This window comes from Homo sapiens, chromosome 4 (assembly GCF_000001405.40).
Source record: "Homo sapiens chromosome 4, GRCh38.p14 Primary Assembly".
Lineage (NCBI taxonomy): Eukaryota > Metazoa > Chordata > Mammalia > Primates > Hominidae > Homo > Homo sapiens.
Genome location: NC_000004.12, coordinates 129,907,257 through 129,930,055, shown reverse-complemented (window position 1 = coordinate 129,930,055; position 22,799 = coordinate 129,907,257). Strand labels below are relative to the sequence as shown.

Sequence of the window (22,799 nt, the reverse complement as noted above, 5' to 3'; positions counted from 1 at the left end):
CAACCCGTGAGATATCCAGTCTTTTAGCTAACTTGTTAGTCCTACAAAGGCAGACTGCTCCCCAGGCAAGATGGGATTTTTCGGGAAAGAGCTATTATCCGTTTTGTTTCAGAGTTTAAACTATAAACGAAATTCCTTCCCTAGACCAGTTTGGCCTACACCCAGGAATGAACAGAAAGTTTAGAGGTTAAAAGGAAGATGGGGTCGGTTAGGTCTGATCTCTTTCACTGACATAATTTCCTCAGTTATAATTTTGCAAATGTGGTTTCAATGCTATTCTTAATTTAAACACTGTCAAAGTTATTCTGTTACGGATCCAAGGATCCTTTGCAGTTTATGAATTTTCCTTTACCATATTCAAGACTTAAGCTAAGGAATTATGGGGGGAAAAAGAAGCCACCCTTGTAATTATTGATTTCTGAGATTTGAACTGATGAGTAGTTCATTTGGGGAGAAATCTAATCAAGTCTTAGAGATTCTGAACTGAATAGGATCCCCAGGATTTATCTTTTTTTTAGGTACCTTACTGATCAAAGTGAGGTGAGGCCTTTGGTTGCTAAGGAAAACTGAAGAAATATTAGATATCTATGAGTTAATTTCATTCTTCTTACAGATAAAATGGCAACCCAGATTATTTAATGGACTTTTTGTAGATGAAACTATGACTAGTACCTACATTTCTTAACTGAATAATGTTTCCTCATTATACCACATTGCCCCTTCATAGACTCTCATTCCTGATAATACACTCATCCCCATTATCAAGTGATAGGGTCTAAGGCCCCCTAGTGGATGCCTGAAACCCCCTGTAGTACCGAATCCTGTATATACTATGTTTTTTCCTATACACACAAACCTATAATGAAATTTAATTTATAAATTAGGCACAATAAGTGATTAACCATAATAATAAAATAGAACAATTATAGCAATATAGTAAAATAAAAGTTATGTGATATGGTCTCTCCCTCTGTCAAAATAATGTGCTGTACTTAGACTCTTCTTCTTCCTGAATCTGTGTAGGCTTTCCCTACTTCCAATAACTAGGTTGGTGTCACTCATTTCAGGGAATTCTTTGCTGATGTCTGTGTACATTCAGTGCTTTCTGGAAGAACACCTTGCCACCAATTGGAACACGTTGTCTGTTCATGTCTTCTCCCCACAAATTTAATGCCCATTCCATCTTTAATCACTTATCATGCACTTTTGTTTAACATTTGCAGTTTGAAGTGTGACAGCAAAACTAGCAAAAATTTTTTTATTCTTCTTCACAATTTTATAGATAGAAGATTCTTACCAAGGTTCTTAGCAACCTCTGCACAGGATTTTTTTTTTTTTTCTTTCTTTCTTTCTTTATTAAGTCAAGAAGTTTTGGACAGGCGTGGTGGCTCATGCCTGTAATCCCAGCACTTTGGGAGGCTCAGGCGGGCAGATCACCTGTGGTCGGGAGGGCAAGACCAGCCTGGTCAACATGATGAAACCCCATCTCTATAAAAAACAAAAATGCAAAAATTAGCCGGGCGTGGTGTTCCACATCTGTAATCCCAGCTACTTGGGAGGCTAGGCATAAGAATCGCTTGGACCTGGGAGGCAGAAGTTGCAGTGAGTCAAAATCACACCACTGCACTCCAGCCTGGGCAACAGAGCAAGACTCCATCTCAAAAAAAAAAAAAAAAAAAGAGAAAAAAAAGAAAAAAATTCAGCTTTTTACCTAAAGGAAGCACTTTAAATATTCTCTTCAGCACTCCAAATTGCCAGCATCATCACTCTTGCACTTTGGGGCCATTATTAAGTACAATATAGGTTACTTGACACCAACACTGCAATACCACCACAGTAGACCTAATCATCAAAAGGGCTACTAAGTGGCAAATGAGTTGGGAGCATGCACATGTGGCTACACTGGACAAAGTGTTGATTCGTATCCTGGGCAAGACAGAGTGGGACAGCACGAGATTTCATCACACTACTCAGAAAGGTGTGCAAAGTAAAATGTATGAATTCCTTATTTCTGGAAATTTTCATTTAATATTTTTAGACTGTAGCTGACCATGAGTAACTGAAGCAGTCGGAAGCAAAACCACACATAAGGCGGAATTACTGTGTATCTCTTAACTCCTCGCATAACCCAAAATGGAATCACAAGTTTAAGGTTCAATACATTGAAATAATTCTGTAGAACTGAATAATATCTTAGTATATTCTGTGAGAATTTATTCAAGAGTTTTAACATATTTTTTCATTCTCAGAATTTTCCCATTAGTTAAAATTCTTAGAATTTCTCTCCAGAATTTATTATTCCTTTTTAGTTTTTATACTGTGCAATGAGTTCAGAAGCCATGGCCTTTGAAGTATATGAAGACTGCCTAGGATGCTTTAAATTTTAAGGCATATTTAATATTATATGTTATTATATATGCATGTGTATTTACATAACACATCACTAGAAACATCAAAGGTTATTTATTTGGAGAAGGGTGGAAGGATAAAAGAAAGAGTGAAAACATACCAAAATAACTTTTCTCAATGCAACAGCATTCCTCTGGGTCTGTATTAATAGTGCAGCACCACTGGGCCATAGCTGGCTGCAGTGCTTAAGTGAGGGTATGATGTGGATTTGCTAAAAGTACTTCAGTTTGAAATGGAGGTTCTGCAATTCCTAGTTATTGATGGTATAGTTTGTAACATTATTTTTATTCAACCCTGACCAATGGAAAATTAAAACAACTTTGATCACTTTGGAAATTCTAGGCTTGGCTTTTCATTTGTAACTATCAATTATTTAAAGAATAGTTTAAAAGGGCTCTTGGAGCTCTTTTTTTGGGGAAAATTACAGTAATTTAGGTAGCAAATGTGAATGATCTCAAGTTTGTAGTTCCATATGGAATAAAAATGCCTTATAAAACAGTCACATTGCCATCTACTGACAGCTTTTTATAAAAGAACCAACTTTTTCTTGTTAGCCCAGCTGTCTGACTATGCACTTAAATGATCTATTACTTGACATGTGGCAGTATAAAAAAGGGGAAGCATAGTTATCCTTTACTCAATACATCTACTTGAAATAATCTCACCATTCACAGCAACCATTTCAAGCTATTCAATGTTTCACTTTTATATACTGCAATTAGATACATTTATTAATGGCATTATTGCATAGTATTTCATAGCTGGTAAAACTGTTTTTGGGAAAGTGACTACAGAGGGTATGTTAATAAATCGGCCCTGCATGTACAGTACATAGGGACTTGCTAATAGGATTTTCATAATAACAGCATTTATCTCACAGCACATTTTATAATACCAATCACTATGTAACAGCAGTGTTGTTATTACATTATGCGAAAAATAGGATGTGTGTTAAGGACATGCATTATAACCTGAAACACAAAAGAACAATGGTACTTGAAGTACTTGTGGATCAAACCATTTTCATTCACATCTTTTTTTTTTGGAAATTTTTTTGCTTCTGCTAGAGTTGATATAAGAAACACATCTAGTGCTGTTATAAAAAGATCAAAAATTTACATCAGTACTCCCAATGAACTAGTAGCTCTAGAGGGTAGCATCCTGATAAACAGTAACTATCATCCTATGGATGGTAATAACCAAGTCTTCCCATAGGTAGTAGTAATCGTCTCGCATACCAAATGCATTTCACTTCCCAATTTAATTCTGTAGAAGTATGTTATTAATTTATCTTTCTTCCATTTTCTAAGATGTGGAGCTTACAATTAAAATTTAACTTTAAAGTACAGTATTATCTTTCTACAAAAGTCTTGAGTACTTATATCAGTTTTTCAGATAACCACATGCTGTGCATGTTTTACAAATTGAAAAAAAAAAGAAAAAAAGAACATACACACATTTTGGCCATTCATAATAATAGCTGGCAAAATAATTAATACACAAAAGCTGAGCTATGACCCTTTTGTAACAATAACTATGTAACTCAGTTGCTCATAGTCTTCGCAAACAGCAGACTTTTTTTAACCTAAAATTGCTTAGAATAGCTTAAATATATTTAAAATTGATTCAGGAGATATATAGTTAGCTTATTGTTTTACTTGTTTTTACTTGAAATAAATCAATGAATGGAGAACATACATTACAGCAGAATTGAAAGCCATCCACTATTAAAGTAGGGCACACCATCATGTATTTTGTCATAACTGGCTCTACCTGGATTTATTATGAAATAGAGTGAGTTAAAGGTTTCCTTGACTGAGGATCCAAGAAAGCAGAACATTCTGCTCTGAGAACTCCAGCTGAGTTTGAATAAGAAATCATTCAAGAATAGATGAAAGGCCTAGATTTTGCTGCCTTTCAACTAGTTCTAAATTAATGTTAAAGATTTTTGCTACATTTCCTGACCTTGCAAAATAGAGTATTTTCAAATGATAATGTGGTTATAGCCACTATTCAAAAAATCAAGATAGAAAGATATTTAGGTCTTCCTTTCCCCCCATGCAATTCACTTAAAATAATGCAAAGAAATATGTGTAGATTGTAGAACAACTCCATTAAAAGAACTATGATTTCGTTTCATAGAAACTGTATAATGAATTTTTGTGCTTAAACTGTATTTTTTTACTTTATACTGTTTATTTCATAGTAAAACTAGTATAATTGGAATAAAAAGTATTATTTTAAATTTAACATGACAGTTAACCATAGAAGTAAAAATACAAAGCAAATCAAAACAACTGGAAATACAGAAAATTTTGCGGTGACAGAGAGAAGTTTGAACTGGTAAGAGTGAGGGGGTGGCTTTGATTGGGCAGAAGTCAGCCCATAAAAAATAGAAAGGATCTATGGGAGCTCTGCTTCTGTTTCTCTCCTGAAACTACATTAAAACAAAAGGTTCCTGTCCTCACCTATGACTATTCAGAGCTCTGATACAAGTATCTTCAAGAACAAAATCGGAACAACACAGAAATCCTGTGCTTATGGGGGAGCTGACAAAATGGGGAATAAATTTGGAAAGCTACTTTCCTATACCTTCTCCTTCAAACTCCCTGATTGGTGGATTCGTATCTATTGCAGAGATCCTCGATTCTAAAGCTAATTCTTCTTGGGAGTCAAAGCGTGAAACCATTTACCTAAGGATTTGTTTAATGGGGTCAGCCATTATTAATGGCTTATTGATAATTGGGGTTTTCCCCTCTGGGGCTCATCCATCCACATTTCCCCCAAAATTCCTTTAGCGTATTGGAGTTGACACTTGATTTCTGACTTTCCTCCATAAGCATTGACAGAGTCGCTTTTATTCCTAAGGGAAAATAAACTCCTAGATATAAATAACAAGACACTTGAGAAAGACGCTACTGGTTTTGTCAGAAGTAGAGTTATTAAAACATATTTATCAAGATTTAAAACTGGTCAAATAATAAACTAAAAAAGAAATGGAAAGATAATATAAAAATGCAGCAAGAGTAGGAAAAAATACTAAATAAAGAGAATATATCATATACAATAGATAAATAAAATAGGTAGAATTAAGTTATATGGTTAGAGATGAGAAATGTATTAGTAAATGGGAAGATCAGCTCAAGAAAACTTCTCAGAAAAAGAAATAATTTTAAAAATGTAAAAGATTAAAAGATAAGCTAAGAGATAGGGATATTAGAAACCAAAGTGCTAATATTTAGATAACATATTTATTTCAAAAACATAAGAAATAAAAATGAAGAGTAATAAATACTCAAAGTAATAATGAATATACATTTTCCAGATTATTTGATGTCCCAGTTTGAAAGGGCCCTGAAAGTTCTAAAGAGAAATGATAAAGAAAAACCCATACTTACATTTTGTAGGGGAATTATAGAATATCAGAAAGTGAAGAAGGCTTAAATAGAAAGATTGCAGGATAAGCAAGCCTCAGAGCGTGAATGACATCAGAACCACAAACAAGGTGCCAAGAGTTAGGGCTGAAAATTGTGTAAAGAAAAATTATGAAAAACAAAAAAAATAAGGTCAAGAGAGTACGGAAACATTGTTTATTAAGCTCACTCAAAGATTATTTAATCATGTAGGGGAATGCATTTCTGTTTGAATTTTACCATTAATTAAAGAGTTCAGACTTTCAAAGTTATACATTAACTTCTTATTGTTTGATAAAGATGTAAGGAATATTCATTTTAAAAAGATTATCTCCAACATATAGTTTTTACTGTTCTGTCAGACCTTAACCAATTCTATATTTAAACTTTAAAATCCCTGTAAATTCTGAGTTCCTCAAAATACTTTCGGAAACAACTTTACCCTGTTCCATGCTGAAATAAAACCAGACATGATTTTTGCTTAGTAATTTCACATCAGTTACGGTTACATATTTTACCATTTCCATTGTATTCTCAGTATTAAAGCAGTTTTTAGAAGTGGCAATAGTGTAATTTTTGAATATCCATTTAATTACACATATATGCATTCAATCATTAATGAGTTAATAAATCTTTGAGAAACATCCATTTTATATTTGTATTTTGGTTTTGTATTTGTACAAAACATCCATTTTGTATTTGTATTTCTAACTTGTGAAAATTATGCTTTGACACCTGGAATCTGGAAGTAATATTTTGTAAGAAAAGATATTTACAGAGACCAGGCACAGTGGCTCACGCCTGTAATCCCAGCACTTTGGGAGGCCGAGGCAGGTGGATCACAAGGTCAGGAGATCGAGACCATCCTGGCCAACACGGTGAAACCCTGTCTCTACCAAAAAATTACAAAACTTAGCCGTGCGTGGTGGCGCATTCCTGTAGTCCCAGCTACTCAGGAGGCTGAGGCAAGGGAATCACTTGAACATGGGAGGAGGAGGTTGCATTGAGCCAAGATTGTACCACTGCACTCCAGTCTGGTGACAGAGTGAGACTCCGTATCAAAAAAAAAAAAAAAAAAAAACTAGAAAAGACATTTACAGAATCTTTTGTATGTCCACATCTTCCATAGCCCAGAATATTTTTCTTGAAAACAAGATCTATGGGATGATATTTGTACCCTCTACATGAATTTGTAGAGATTAAATAAAATAATACATATAGAGCACTTACCACAATACATGGCTGAATAAGCACACAATAAATATCAGTTCTTGTAACTTTCACTCTTAAAAATAACCAAAAGAAATATGTAACTTAGCCTAAAAACCATTTATGTAACAACATAGACTTGGAAAAATTCAGACACTTGTAGCCAGAAAGAAAGCACATGGTTTTAAAAACCTCTGTGGCATATTTATGTTTTTTTTCTGCACCTATGTATACTTTGATATCTAATAAAAATAATATTGAGTGTGAATTGTTTATTTATAGTTGAACACTTTGAAATTATCCAGTTAAATATCTGTCAGGCACCAAAAGGAACGTGATATCTGTTGTCTTCTTTATTTTCTATTGACGTTTAAAGGTATTAAGTAATTTCTCTGGCTGTTCCAGAAGAGTTCTCATTCCTTTGGTTTGCAAATTAGAAAGTTGGGAATTTTAAAGGCTTATTCTTTACAAAAAAAGAAGAATTCAAGTTTTCAGAAAATATGAAGAAATCAGAATTGCAGCTAAAAAAAATACAGAGTTAAAGATTGCATTAGCTTTAGGAAACTTACCAGGTAGATATCAGAGTCAAAAGGACAAACTAAAGAAAGAAGGTTCGCTTCACATGTTTTTATTTTTTGAAGAATATTTGAATCCTTCGCTTCTCAGATAACATAACTATTGTGTTTATTCAAACGTATTTTTTTCCATTCAGGATAAAATGTATTAAGGCATATATGTGTAATTAAATGGATATTCAAAAATTACACTATTGTCACTTCTAAAAACTGCTTTAATACTGAGAATACACTGGAAATGGTACAATATGTAACCGTAACTGATGTGAAATTACTAAACAAAACTCCTGTCTGGTTTTATTTCAGCATGGAACAGTGGAAATTTTTAGTGACTAAACATTAAACACTGATAAAACCAGGAAGGAACTCAAAGAACAGAGGAATAGAATATAATCCTACTTTTAGATGAATAGATTATATGATTATACATTGACATAGGTAACACATGCATATAGATGTGTATATATGTATATATACATAGATAATATATGTATATTTATGTCTACTATTTGTTCATTAATAGATACAAGATGGAATAAGATAATTAGGGTTGCTAGCCTTTTCAAGCATGTTCTTCCATACTTCTACTCTCATCAGGTGAAAGTCTACTTTGATTTAGATAAAATATTGAATGAAAGTCTGAGGAAAAGTAATTGTCTCTATGATGCAATGAAATTTTTTGACAAACTAGGTGAAAACATTGGTCAGCAACATTGGGCCACATTTCAGAATAAGCAACAAGAAAACAGAACCAAGATACAGGCATATCTTGGTGACATTACTGTTTGGTTCCAGGCCACTGTAATAAAGCAAATATTGCAGTAAAGTGAGTCAAACAATTTTTTTTGGCTTTTCAATGCATATAAATTTTATGTTTACTTATAATACAGCTTATTAAGTGTGCAATAGCATTGTCTCTAAGATAATGTATATACATTAATTTAAAAATACTTTATTACCAGCAAATGTTATTGGGTATCTGAGCTTTCAGCAAATAAACTTTTTTGCCAGTGAAGCATCTTGCCTTAATGTTGACGGCTATAAATGACTGATCAAGGCAGTGGTTGCTAAAGACTGGGGTGGCTGTGACAGTTTTTTAAAATAAGACAACAGTGAAGTTTGCCTCACTGATGGACTTTTTCTTTCACAGAAGATTTCTCTGTAGCATGTGCTGCTGTTTGATTCATTTAACACACAGTAGAACTTCTTTCAGAATTGGAGTTCTTTCAAATCTTGATGCTGCTTTATCAACCAAGTGTATGTAATATTCTAAATCCTTTGTTTTCATTTCAACGAAGTTCACAGCACTGTTACCAGGAATAGATTCCATCTCAAAAAACCACTTCCTTGCTAATCTATAAAAAGCAACTCCTCATTCCTTAGTTTTATCATGAGAATGTAGCAATTTAGACACATCTTCAGGCACCACTTCTCTTAATAATAATTATCTTGCTATTTCCACCACATCTGCAGTTACTGTCTCCACTGAAGTCTTGAACCCCTCAAAGTCGTTCACCAGAGTTGGAATCAACTTTTTCCAAACTCCTCTTAATGTTAATATTTTGACCTTTTTCCATGAATCACAAATATTCTTAATGATTCCTAGAATGGCGAATAATTTCCAGAACATCTTCAATTTACTTTGCCCAGGTCCATGAAAAATGACCATCTATGGTAGTTATAGCTTTATAAAAGGCTATTATTTTTTAAATAATAAAACTTGAAAGCTGAAATTACTTCTTGATCCATAGGCTGCAGAAAGGATATTATGTTAGCAAGCATGAAAACAATATTACTGTCCTTGCACATCTCCATCAGAGTTCTTGGGTGACCAGATACATTGTCACTGAGCAGGAATATTTTGAAAGAAATCTTTTTTTTTTTCTGAGTAGTAGATCTTGACAGCAGGTTTATAATATTCAGTAAAACATGCCTTAAGACATATGCTGTCATCCAGTCTTTGTTGTTCCATTTATAGAGCACAGGCATAATTGATTCAGTATAATTTTGAAGAGCCCTAGGATTTTTGCAATGGTTAATGAACATTGGTTTCAATTCCAAGTCACCAGCTGAATTAATCTCTAATGAGAGAGTCAGCCTTTTCTTTGCAGCTTTAAAGCCAAGCATTGACTTCTCCTTTTTAGTTAGGAAAGTTTGGATGACATCTTCTTTCAATAGAAAGCTGTTTCTTCTACATCAAAAAACTGTTTAGTGTAATTACCTTCCTCAATGATCCATCCTAGATATTCTGGATAACTTGCTGCAGCTTCTACGTCAAAACTTACTGCTTCACCTTGCACTTCTATGTCACAGAGATGGACTTCTTTCCTTAAACATTATGAACCAACCTCTGCTAGCTTCCAACTTTTCTCCTGCAGCTTCTTCACCTCTCTTAGCCTTCATAGAATTGAAGAGTTAGGACCTTGCTATGGATTAGGCTTTTACTCAAAGGAATATTGTGGTTGGTTTAATCTACCATAATCACTAAAACTGTTGATATCAGTAATAAAGCTGTTTCACTTTATCATTCATGCATATGCTGGAGTAGCATTTTTAATTTCCTTCCAACTTTTTTTTCTTTGCATTCACAAATTGGCTAACTGTTAAGAGGCCTAGACTTTGGCCTACTTTGGTTTTTGATATGCCTTCCTCACTAAGCTTAATCATTTATACCTTTTGATTTAAAGTGGGAGATATGTAACTCTTTCTTTCATTTGAACACTTAGAGGCCATTGTAGGGTTATTAATAGACTGATTTCAATATTGCTATATATCAGGAAATAAGGAAGCCCAAGGAAATGGAGAGAGATAGGGGAACGACCACTCAGTGTAGCAGTCAGAACACACAAAACATTTATCGATTAAGTTTAGTGACGTACGAGCATTGTTCACGGCACCCCAAAGCAATTACAATAGTAACATCAAATATCACTGATATGGTATGGATATTTGTCCCCTCCAAATCTCATGTTGAAATGTGATCCCCACTGTTGGGAGTGGGGCCTAGTGAGAGGTGTTTTGGTCATGGGAGCGAATCCCTCATGAATGGCTTGGTGTCCTCCCTGCCGTAACGAGTTTACATGAGATCTGTTTGTTAAAAAGAGTCTGGCTCTCTCTACTCTCTATCTTGCTTCTTCTGTCACCCCATGACATGCCTGCTCCCTCTTTGCCCTCTACCATGAGTGCAAGCTTCCTGAGGGCCTCACCAGAAGCACATGCTGGTGCCACGCTTTTTGTGCAGCTTGCAGAACTGTGCGCCAAATCAACATCTTTTCCTTATAAATTACTATATTAGTCCATTCTCATGCTGCTATGAAGAAATACCTGAGACTGGGTAATTTATAAAGGAAAGAGGCTTAATTGACTCACAGTTCCGCGGGGCCAGGAAGGCCTCACGGTGGAAATGGAAGCAAACACATCCTTCTTCACATGGTGGCAGCAAGAAGTGCCAAGCAAAAGGGAAAAAAAGCCCCTTATAAAACCATGTGATCTCGTGAGAAATCACTCACTATCATGAGAACAGCATGGAAGTAACTGCCACCCACCGGGTCCCACCAGGTCCCTCCCACAATACGTGGGGATTATGGGAACTACACTTCAAGATGAGATTTGAGTGGGAACACAGCCAAACCATATCAATTACCCAGCCTCAGATATTCCTTCATACTGCAAAATAAGTTAACATAATTACTGATCCCAGATCATCATAACAGATATGTTAATAAGAAACTATCTAAAATATGGTGAGAATTACCAAAATGTGACAGAGGCACATAGTGAAAACATGCTGTTGGAAAAATGGCACCTATGGACTTATTAGATGCAAGGTTGCCACAAACCTTTAATTGTAAAACATGCAGTATCTGTAAAGTAGAAAAAAAGGAAACAGCAATAAAGGAAGTATGCCTGAATCTTTTCAACATTATAGTTATGACATCACTTGTGTATGGTGACCAGATTTAACTCAACTAAAACCTCACATGGCAACTGTTAAAGTGACAGAGAAAGTAACTGCTGCCAATTGTAGTCAATCCTAGAAGAACATTTTTGTGAAGGTCATAAATATGCTTCACATTCTATTTCAATAACTTATATTTATATTGTTATTGTATTTGAATTATAATTCATTTGCATGTCCTCCATTGTCAAAATGAATTTCAGATTTTAGATAGGAAAAAAGGAAATTACTTGCTGTGGAAAAAATAAATCTTTAGTATTTAATTGGATATATAATGATAATATCTGTAAAACTAACAGCAAAATTCAAATATGCTTTTATTGAAAAGTTCTTTAGCACTCGCTCTTATCATGTCTCATTTTCTCTGACATACTAGACCTAAATTGCCACTTATAATGTGTGATGAACATACAGAAACTTACATGTTGCCTTTTGTTTTATCTAGAAGCAAGTAGATTGTACAAATAGGCTTGATTGCTCTGTGATAGAAAATGTGACCATCTGTAACAATTCATATTGTGAACTTATTACATAGATAATTATTATGATTAGTGTTACAATTCAGCAATCAGAAATCTGTACAGGATCCAAAGGAACACAGCAGGATAATACTCTATCTAAATGGGCTCAGGAAAAATGCAATTTATTTGACACACTCCACAAGAGAGGCAGAATCAATTGGACATATAACGTAATCATTTTTCTCTCCCTCAGCAGGTTGGCACAGGAGCCAGCATCATGCATGGAAGGGAGTTTGCCATACAGAACCACCGTTATTGCATCTGCATGAGAATAGATGAACCCTTGGGTACACTCAAAATATTGCTGGAGTTCCCTTTATTCAGACAGGACAGGCTTCCCTAAAGACACTCTCCTTTTATATCACACAGGACACATATTTCACCTTCAAGTGCTATTTTTATGTCACTCACTTAGAAAATTAAACCTTGTCATCTCTCTAATTCTACTTGGTTTCAAGTGCAGCAATAACATTTAGGCTAAACTATATATTTTGCAAGAAAAATCCATCCTCCCTCCTTATATTCTTTTTGGCTGGCCTGTGAAGTATTCTTTGAAAACCAGTGAATCATATTCTGAGAATTATAAGCTTATTTAAACATTTTTAACACTGAATGGTCTTCTGAGCTTGAAAGACATGATAGCTTTTTACTACCATGCTGATAAAATATGTAATTGTTCAATTTCTAAAAAGCTGTTGTATTGTCTCTAGTTACTCCACATCTGCTACATTAAATAAGACATGACAGAAGGGAACTTGGTGGGAGGGAGAGAGGGGGAAGGCAAAGGAGTCCTAAAGACATGCAGGTGGAAAGTTGTTATCCCAAACATCTGGACCTATTTACTAGGTAGTTGCTACCCTGGGATAGATACATGCTCTATTTACAAAGTCCCTTGGTAGAATACAAAATTTTTTAAAAAGGAATGTCTTACTGCATAAATACCCAAATATGAAAATATTAACTTTCAGAAATAATCAAATATGTAATCATTAAGATGGAGCATCATTTGTTTCCAGTTAATGGAAAATTGAAAGGATATGTAAGTGTTCAGTACAAGTTTTTGAAGAGATATTAATTTCAATATTTTTTATTTCTAAGCTATGTATTCATAAACAAATGACATTAAAATAAACAGAACTTCATTATATACCATTCTTTTCAAGACATTTTATACATATTTATTGTCTATTTTGTGCCACATATTCCAGGCATCATTTTATTAAAATTATTTATGTACTTAAAGAGTGAGTGATTATATATCATGACAGTTCTTGGTTTTCCTTTTTTCTTTATAGAGCATATTAATTTTGAATGCACATCATGGCACACTTTTTATAGGTATAAAAAGAACTGACAAATGCAAAACATGACTGCTTCCATAGCCATTTCCTTTCTCCATTTGGAGGATGCTAAATATAAATGTGTCTTTTGTTTTCAGAAATATTCTATCTATTCAATTTTCTTTGGTTTTCATTTCTATAAAAAACATACTACTGTTGTTGAAAATAGTATAAATCTTGCATCAAAGCAATTTTCTTGTTTTTCCATATTCCAGATTGTCAGTCTCCAGAGTTAACCAAATTCAACATTTCTACCTGTTTCTTCTTTTACTTTTGTATTTTCTAAATCACATGTGTATTCTTTCTTTAAGTATTTAGTCCTACATAATATCTATGGACCTCCTAAAGTGGAAAATAGGAGAGAAAAATTGGCCTTTTGTATCCTGCCCTCTTCGCGCCAAAGCACATATACATAAACACATGCATAAACCTATGCATATGCATACACATACATTCATACATGCTTTCTTCCAATAGAATTATATAAGGGCTTGATTAAGTTAATAGTTAATGTTTGCATTATGTGACCATGTAAATATTATTTGTAGCTAAGCTAAGTAAAATATTCCATATAGTATCACTACATTATCATTACATTTTATATTTTGCTCAACTCTTTATTGCCCTGGAGTTAATTTTTTCATTTGGTTATTTTCCAGCGTGGCCATCAGTAGTTCATTCTCAATCAATCTCTAAATACCTTTTCAATGAATCGAAACACATTCACATAACTCTTCAGTTTAACCTTTTCTTTGAGACACTCCTCCTGAAGTCTTCTGCACTCCAGCTTTAATCTGAACTATGTGCTTTCTAGAATCATTGCTCACTGGTCAACCTGGGACTTCTTCCCTTGACCATCAAATCAGGAATTCCTTTCATTCTTCTTCTGTGGGAAGGCCTTCTTTCCAGGGTCCTCATTCTTTCTCTTTCTTGCTTTTCTCATGCTACTAAACAGAGCACATACTCCAGTAGCTTCCTGAGAATGTGCGTGTGCATCAAAACCTTGAGGACATGAAAATCTTTTTCTTCAACCTTCACAAATCTTTCATAGTCTGGCTAAATATACACCATCTTGCCTTAGAATTTTTAAGACACTATTTCACATTCTTCTAGCTTCTAGTAAGAAGTCTGAGGACATTTTATCATAAGATTTTTTGTAGGTGACATGTTTTCTTTCTTCCCTCTTTAAGAATTTAGGAAATTTATACCTATGGTGAATTTTTAAGATGACTGTTTTTGGAGGTGTTTTTAAAAATCATCGCTCATAATAATCTTCGTATCCTTCTGAAAACTATTATTCAGTTATGAAACATTTGCTTAAATTTAAAATATAAATTTACTTCTTTTTTGTTTATTTTTCTGGAATTCATGTTATTAGATGTTGGTACTACTGGATGGATACTTTTGATTTGGATATATTTTTTCTAGTGTATTTCCTTATCTTTTGCTGTTTTAGTTTCCTGAAAAATTTCCTCAATTTTTATCTTTATACACATACACAAAGATACTTTATCTATATAGCATTCTCTGTAAATTTTATTTCCTCTGAATTCATTTATTTTTTTCTTTGTTAAGACTTCTTTTATGTAAACGCTTTCATCAAATATCTTATGATTCTTGTTCATTTGTATATATGTAAGAGGGAGGGACTAAAAGGACTTTTCAACTACCCTTATTTACAAATTCTGAAACTAAATGAAATGAACATATTTTGGACTACCTAATCCACATTTTGCCTTTTGTAAGCTTTCATAGTAAATACATAACTCAATGTATTTTCTGACATGAAGAAATAACTCTAGTGGAGAAAAAAGAAGCATGCATGATTAAACACCACACAAGATGAGATGAAATAAATAAAATTTTCATTTTGCTTTCTTTTTGTTTCTTATCAGTTGGAAGCGATTAGGTGCTAATCTGGAGTGCAAGTTTTCCTGTTGCATCTGAATATAAAAAATAGACATCAAAAGGACTATTTTTATATTAAGATTTATGCGTAAGATGACCCTTCTTTATATGAGAATAATAAAACAGTGCACAGTTAGAGTGATTTCTGTGATTGACTTTCTACACTATGCTAACTGACTTATCTCTGCCAATATGGCAATCTTATTCCCCTTGGCAGTGACTTGTTTAGCAGTGAGCATACAAAGGAACAAAAGTCCTGTGTGAAGTTTCAATTCTTAGATAACATGAGATGAGATTGTCTCTTCATCTGGATATTTTCATATTTTGATATTTTATCTCAATCTGCAGTCTTCCTGCATCCATAAGGACAAAGCCAAATCAACATGGTAGAGAAGATAGGTGAAAAGAACCTCATATTTTTGAGTACATCATTGGACCAATGTGTCAAGAGTCCTGGATTAATTGTACATTACTATTGTATTAGATAATAAATATTCTTTTATTGAATGAATTTGGGTCATGCATTCAGCTACAGGCATTTCAGCTAACACAATAAATTGTTTTATATTTAATATAAAGAATGTATTCTCAAAGGACAACTTACTATAAGATTAAAAAATACAGGAAGAAATTAAAATACTTGTACTAATAAGTAGAAATCCCATGCTTGCTTTCAATGTAAAAAGCAAAGGTTTATTCACACTTTGTGATACAATAAAACTAATTTAGTTAATTGAAGAGGTGGCTATGAGAGTATTTCAGGTTACAACAATGTTTCAGATTGTAAATAAATATGAAAATAAACAATTGAATGAGCTTTCTTTCAAAAAGTTTTAAAAATGCAATCCTGTATATAAAATTTTAGAGGAAAGATTTTTAGATAGCAGGATTATTATAAAAGTAGTACATTTTGTTAATGTTTTAAAAATAGAGCCATTTTATTTTGTCTTATTTAGTGCCATATAACTAGCTTTAAGACCGTATTGAAACATGGATTATTTTTGTCAATACTTAAAGTGATTGCATTACTGCGATTTTAAATTAATACAAATGTAAAAATTAAAACTAATTTTATTTTTAAATTTTTCAAATGATGCTTATGAATATTATTATACTTAATCTCAAAAACATTCTACAATGAAATAAGAACATATTATTATGATTGATATTATATAGATCAAAAAAATTATGCAGGAATAAATTAAAATACTTGTACTAAGAAGAAGAAATCCCTTGTCTCAAGCCAGGTTATCTGGGGATCATCTATTTCAAACTTGATAAGCTTCTATGATGGCTTCAGCACATTACAATTATTATGACTAAAATACTCTTTTCAAAATAAATCTTCATATTAAGGACATTATTCTGCCCTCTGTTTGCTTCCCCATTCTCTTTTCAGGTTTAGATTAATTTTGAGAGAGAATCTGAAGGTGGATTAGATAGTAATCCAGCAAAAACTATTTAGAATGGCACTGGTTTTGATTACAGTAAATAGATTACTTTAAACAAAAACCCTATATTACTCTTAGTAACAAAATCACAGAGATTAGCATAGTAGAAATACTGATTCTGTATCCAGGAACCCGCCATCTTGAGGGATTTAACCATGATAAAATGTAATGCCAACCAATTTGGAGTTTTACTTAATATCTTCTTCCTATCAAGTGGAAAATACAGTTTTGTGGGGGAAATGACACTATGTCTTTGTATAATGCAATATACACTCTATCCATAATGCTTTTATTTGAACCACAGGATATTGCCAATATATAATCATCCTGAGCCTACAAATGGCAATTTCATCTGATCCAATCTGATATTTTTTGATATTTATTTTTACTAAAAAAACCTGAGAAAAAGAATAAGATCAAATTATCAGCTTTACACGCATTACAGTTTTAAAAATAATTCTTATGTACACAATGACTAATTTTAATTTGAAATATTTAATTTATATATGTCTCACTAAAGGAAGACTCATGCCATAGAATCATAACCATAAGTTTAAAAAAGCTACTTAAGTACATTTTTTTGTATGGATGACAAGGTCCCTATTAGAATGTCACATCAAAAGAGTATTTTGCAAAATTTAATATGTAACAGTAACATGACAATGTAACAATGCAAATATTTACTTTATGCTATAACATCATCAAATCCACAAATAACATCTTTTTAAAGAATTAAATGACTCATAGTGAAAAGAATCCAGGACAATGACAAAAATAAATTCAGAAAACCTTTCAATTATGGTCTAGATATTAAATTTTTTCTAATATTGAAGGCAAAACTTTTTCCTACTGTTCAATGCATTCCTAATCTTCTCCCAGTGCCTGTGCTTTCTATTTGATAGGCACTTTATAGTGTTCTTATGTTTTATATCACAATACGATTATTCTCTTAGTGACTCATGGTTAAAGGAACTCAGGGAGGGAAAAGCCTACATAACCAATACAGATTTTAACAGTACATTTGAAACTTTACAAATTATAAACTTATACCCTTTTATTTTACTATAATAATGACATTCATTTTATACTGCTTTATGTTTTACGAGGACTTTGATTTATATTACAGTGTCTCATTTAGTGTTTTTTGTTTTTGTTTTGTAGTTGTTGTTTGTTTTTTTGTGAGACTGGGTCTCACACTGTCACCCAGGTTGGAATGCAGTGGCATGATCATAGCTCACTGCCTCCTCAAATTCCTGGGCTCGAGGAATCCTCCCACATCAGCCTCCTGAGCAGATGAAACTACAGACACATATCACCACACCCAGATAATTAATTTATTTATTTTTGTGTATAGGCAGGGTCTTGCCATCTTACCTATGCTAGTCTTGAACTCCTGGGTCTTTCTATGCTTTTATTTTAAGGTTTTACATTACACTTGACTGAGAACTATAATAAATAAAAGAATATTTTATAATAATTTTATAATATTATAAAAATTATTTTATAATAAAAATAATAAGTTTTAAGAAACTATTCAAAATTCTACACGGGAAAAAAAAGGAAAGAATTTTCCTTTACTATTTATAAACTTAAGCACAAAACAAAACCTGTAAATAAAATAAATATAATTTCATGTTTATATGTAAAACAACATTAAAGATACTCCTAGTTTTAAACATTTTAATTACACCTTTATTAAGATTAATTCACATACTATAAAAGTTACCCTTTTAAAGAGTACAATTTAGTGGTTCGTTGTATATTCATAGAGTTGTGTAACTATCATCAATATCTAACTTCAGAATTTTTTAACACCTCAGAAAGAAATTCTGTGCTCATTAGCAGTGGATGTTTGTAATATTTTTTAAAGAAAAAAACAAATTACACACATTTTGTTTTAAAAACAGAACCAAAATGAAAACTTAGATGTTTTTTTTTTCCCTTGGATGTGCTTCTACAAAACTATACCCAGCAATTTTGACTTCATGCTTGGGAAAAGACTTCCAAGGGATAATATTATCATAATAAATTCTCTGAAATGTTTTATATGATCTGGACTTGAGATGTCCACCCTAAAACTGTCTTCCTTCCATGTATACAATGAATGTGTAATTAAATGCATGAATGTCTCCAATTCCTTACCCTTTCTACATCCAGGGGTTTTTGCCATACAAATGTGTAGTGCCCTCCCACTCAGGCCTCTCAAGTACCATGAACTTGAGTCAGTCAGTCATTCTATTCATTCACTTATGAATTAATTCATGCTGTACATATCGCCTGAGTACCATAATATATGTCTACTATCATAAATAATGTGCTGCTCATGGCCAGGCAAAGTGGCTCATGCCTATAATCCCAGCACTTTGGGAGGCCGAGGAGGGCGGATCACAAGGTCAGGAGTTTGAGACCAGTCTGGTCAACATAGTGAAACCCCGTCTCTACTAAAAATACAAAAAAGTAGCCAGGTGTGGTGGTGTCCACCTGTGATCCCAGCTACTTGGGAGGCTGAGGCAGGAGAATTGCGTGAACCTGGGAGGCGGAGGTTGCAGTGAGCCGAGATCACACAATTGCACTCCAGTCCAGGCAACAGTGCGAGACTCTGTCTCAAAAAAAAAATAGTAAAATAATAAATAAATAAATAATGTGCTGCTCATATTCTAGAATTGAGAATATCATTGTTCTGAAAGTATATTCTAGTTGAAAGACCAATAATACTAAAAGATAACAAAAATAAAAATTGGTAAGTGTTATAAAGAAAAATACAATCAACCTAAGCAGGGAGGTAGTTGGGAAAATTCAATTTTAAACATGTTGATCTAGGAAGGCTTCTCTGAAAAAGTAATAATTTGACATAAATCGGAAGGAAGCATAACAATGAGGGAGGTGACATCTAGGGAAACAATCTGAAGAAGCAGTAAGCACAAAGAACCTGATCAGGAATGAACGTGGTTCCTTTGTGGAATTGGCAAGAAAACCAAAAAGGTATTAAGTGCCCAAGAATATGTTGAAATTTCCAAGCTTTCTAAACACAATTTCCTACTTTGAAAGAAAAAATGACTGGATAACAGAGAGTTTCAAACATTAAAGCAAATAGTCAATTTGAAGTTACTTGTCCTTTTTAAAAAAATTTCTGTTTAATTCTTTAAGAGTGCCAATCTCCTAACAAGTATCTCAACATTCAGATCCCATCTTTCACTACACTGATTCTACTGCCAATCTCATTTAAGATATTTGACCACCCAACATTTTAGGCAAAGCAATCTTGAATGCCATGTTTACAAAAGAAAAGTTAATTACTTTATCAATATAAATTTTAGACTTTTGAGCAATAATTAATTATTAATACAGCATGTTCCTGTGTGTTTTGATGTATACATACTAACTTTTTTTAACTTTTACATTCAGAGGTGCAAATGAAGGTTTGTTATATAGGTGAACTTGTGTCATGGGAGTTTGTTGTACAGATTATTTTATCACCCAGGTATTAAGCCTAGGACCCATTATTTATTTTTTGGTCCTCTTCCTCCTCCCACCCTCCAGCCTCTGAAAGCCCCAATGTGTATTGTTCCCCTCTATGTATCCATGTGTTCTCATCATTTACCTCCCACTTTTAATTAAGAACATGCGGTATTTGGCTTTCTCATTCTGTGTTTGTTTGCTAAGGATAATGCCCTCTAGCTCTGTCCATGTCCCTGCAAAGGACATCATCTCATTCTTTTTTATGGCTGCATAGTATTCCACAGTGTATATTTACCACATTTCCTTTATCCAGTCTATCCAGGCTTATCAAAATTATGTCTATTTTCCTAATATAACCAATTCCAAATTCCTCCCAAATTTATGGAGGTAGCACTAAAGGCAAAACCTCAGAAAACTACTATCTACTAAGGCAACAATCAATCTATTTCTAAAATCAAAGGAGAACTTTTAACTATAACAAGTATAGATTTGAAAGAGATAATAATTCAAAGTTAACATATTTTGCCACAAGAAATACAACACTCCTATGGAAAGCAGGGTAAATATCTTCTTTCCTACCTCCCTACCCTTTCAAAACCATCAAAATAGAGTTTCATATTCTTTCATCTTCCCTCTGGGCCAAAGTTTCAGGGACTACACTAATCAAAACTCTATGCCACAGTGTTCTCAGCCATGTGGCTAACGTTTTCCAAATGGCCAATGAACAAGTCTAAATAACCATTCATACCCTCATATATCAATTTGAATGCATTGATTCTTATAATACCACATAAAGAAGTGGGCTTGTGTTGTAATCTTAGGAGGTAAAATCTCAACAATTAAAGTTCTATAGATAGAAAAGTAAAAGGGACCCTGAAAGACTTTTTGACATTAACAAAACTTCAAATTGTCAGAAAACCAGTATATGCCTTTTTGCTTTGTTCTATCTCACCTCAAACTTTAAAAATAATACATTAATTTATTTCTGTTAGACTATGTACATTGATCTATGAATTATGCAGGGCAATCTGACCTCAAATACAGATTTGGGAAGAAGAGTAGGTATGAGTAAAAGACTATTGTGAGTGCTGTCAAGATAGTCAACTTACCTATTGGTATATGTCTGGTATGTAATCTCCTCTCTTCTAATAATGAATAGAGGGAAACAAATGCATTTGCCTAAAGAAATGAAGAACAAAAGTAAGAAATATTACCTTGAGAATGGGCTTACTTCTGGAAATTATTTGCCATAGGAGTCTAAGGAATATTAGAATGGACTACCAATTTTAATGCTACAATATAGTGCCACTTCTAGGACTTGTGGCCAGACATCTTTAAGATATGCTGGAATGGGAAGAATTCTGGGTGAGAGGTAAGGCAGAAGGCAGGAGAGCAGAAACAACAGAAGTGACGCTTACATTGTAGGCAGTGAAAGGCAGAGCTGACACTGGATATTCTGAAGAGAAGTTTCAGGGACACTTTAGAACAACCTCAAAACCGTTCTTTGAACACAGTCAAAAACTAAAACCAAAAGTAGAGTATGTCTATAGACGGCAAACAAAATAAATCCAAACCAAAAATAACTTGTGCTCTTTGCCACATGACTTGGTCAACGAGAACAAAAGCAATAATCACACTCATACTTCAGGAAAACCTTCTTAACCCAAAGAAAAGAAATGAAATTTTCTAGGTTAAAATGGCTCATATTAGATCACTCAAATTAATTTTCATTTTGGTTAAATGTGATGGACTAAGCACGAGTTTCTACTTCTCTTCACAAACAAAGGGACATTGAAATAATAGACAACTGGACAAGAACAAAAGAGAGAATGAAATTATCGTGCTGGAAGTTGGAAAAAGGAAGTTGCTTTTGTCCTTTCAGACAGCTATAGCAAAATAATGGGTAATTTATAAACAATAGAAATTTATTGTTCACAGTTCTGCAGGCTGGAAAATCCAAGATCAAGATGCCAGCAGATTCTCTGTCTGGTGAGGGCCTGGTTTTCATAGATGGTGTCTTCTATGTGTCCTTACATGGGAAAAGGGGTGAACAAGCTCTGTTGAGCTTCTTTTGTAAGGACACTGCGCCTTATGAGCTGAGCCAACCAAATTACCTCCTAAGGCCCCACCTCTTAATATCATCACCTATGGGGTTAGGTTTCAAAATAGAATTTGGGGGAGGCACAAATATTAAGACCATAGCATCATCCATCACACATTTTAGATTTACTTGGAAAGCAGAATAGATTGAATAGTTGGAGAATGAGCTGAGGAAACCAAGATAATACTTCTAATGATCCTCCCAGGCAAATCCCAGAGAAGTAAAACATCTAAAACAGCCACATAGCAGAGATTCCTTTTTTCCTCAGTTTTCCAGTGGATCACATATTGTCTAGATTATTTGCTTTAAACTAAAAATTTCTCACCATAAATTAAGAAAATGTTCGGGACTTCATACCTTGAAAATTATTTTTTAGTAGTTCTAGAATGGGGTCCAGTTAAGTGTATGCATCTAGAGTTCTCAGGTGACTTTGAAGGACATTCTGGCTATGAACT

General features: G+C 33.5%; 1 long non-coding RNA gene across 1 annotated transcript in view; it reads right to left on the bottom strand.

The window, feature by feature from the left end:
• LINC02465 (long intergenic non-protein coding RNA 2465) overlaps positions 1-22,799 on the bottom strand; it is a 183,750-nt gene that overhangs the window by 25,313 nt on the left and 135,638 nt on the right. Inside the window, exon 13 of the long non-coding RNA NR_151713.1 lies at positions 21,353-21,422. This is a non-coding gene — a long non-coding RNA (long intergenic non-protein coding RNA 2465). The remainder of the gene's footprint in view (positions 1-21,352; positions 21,423-22,799) is intronic.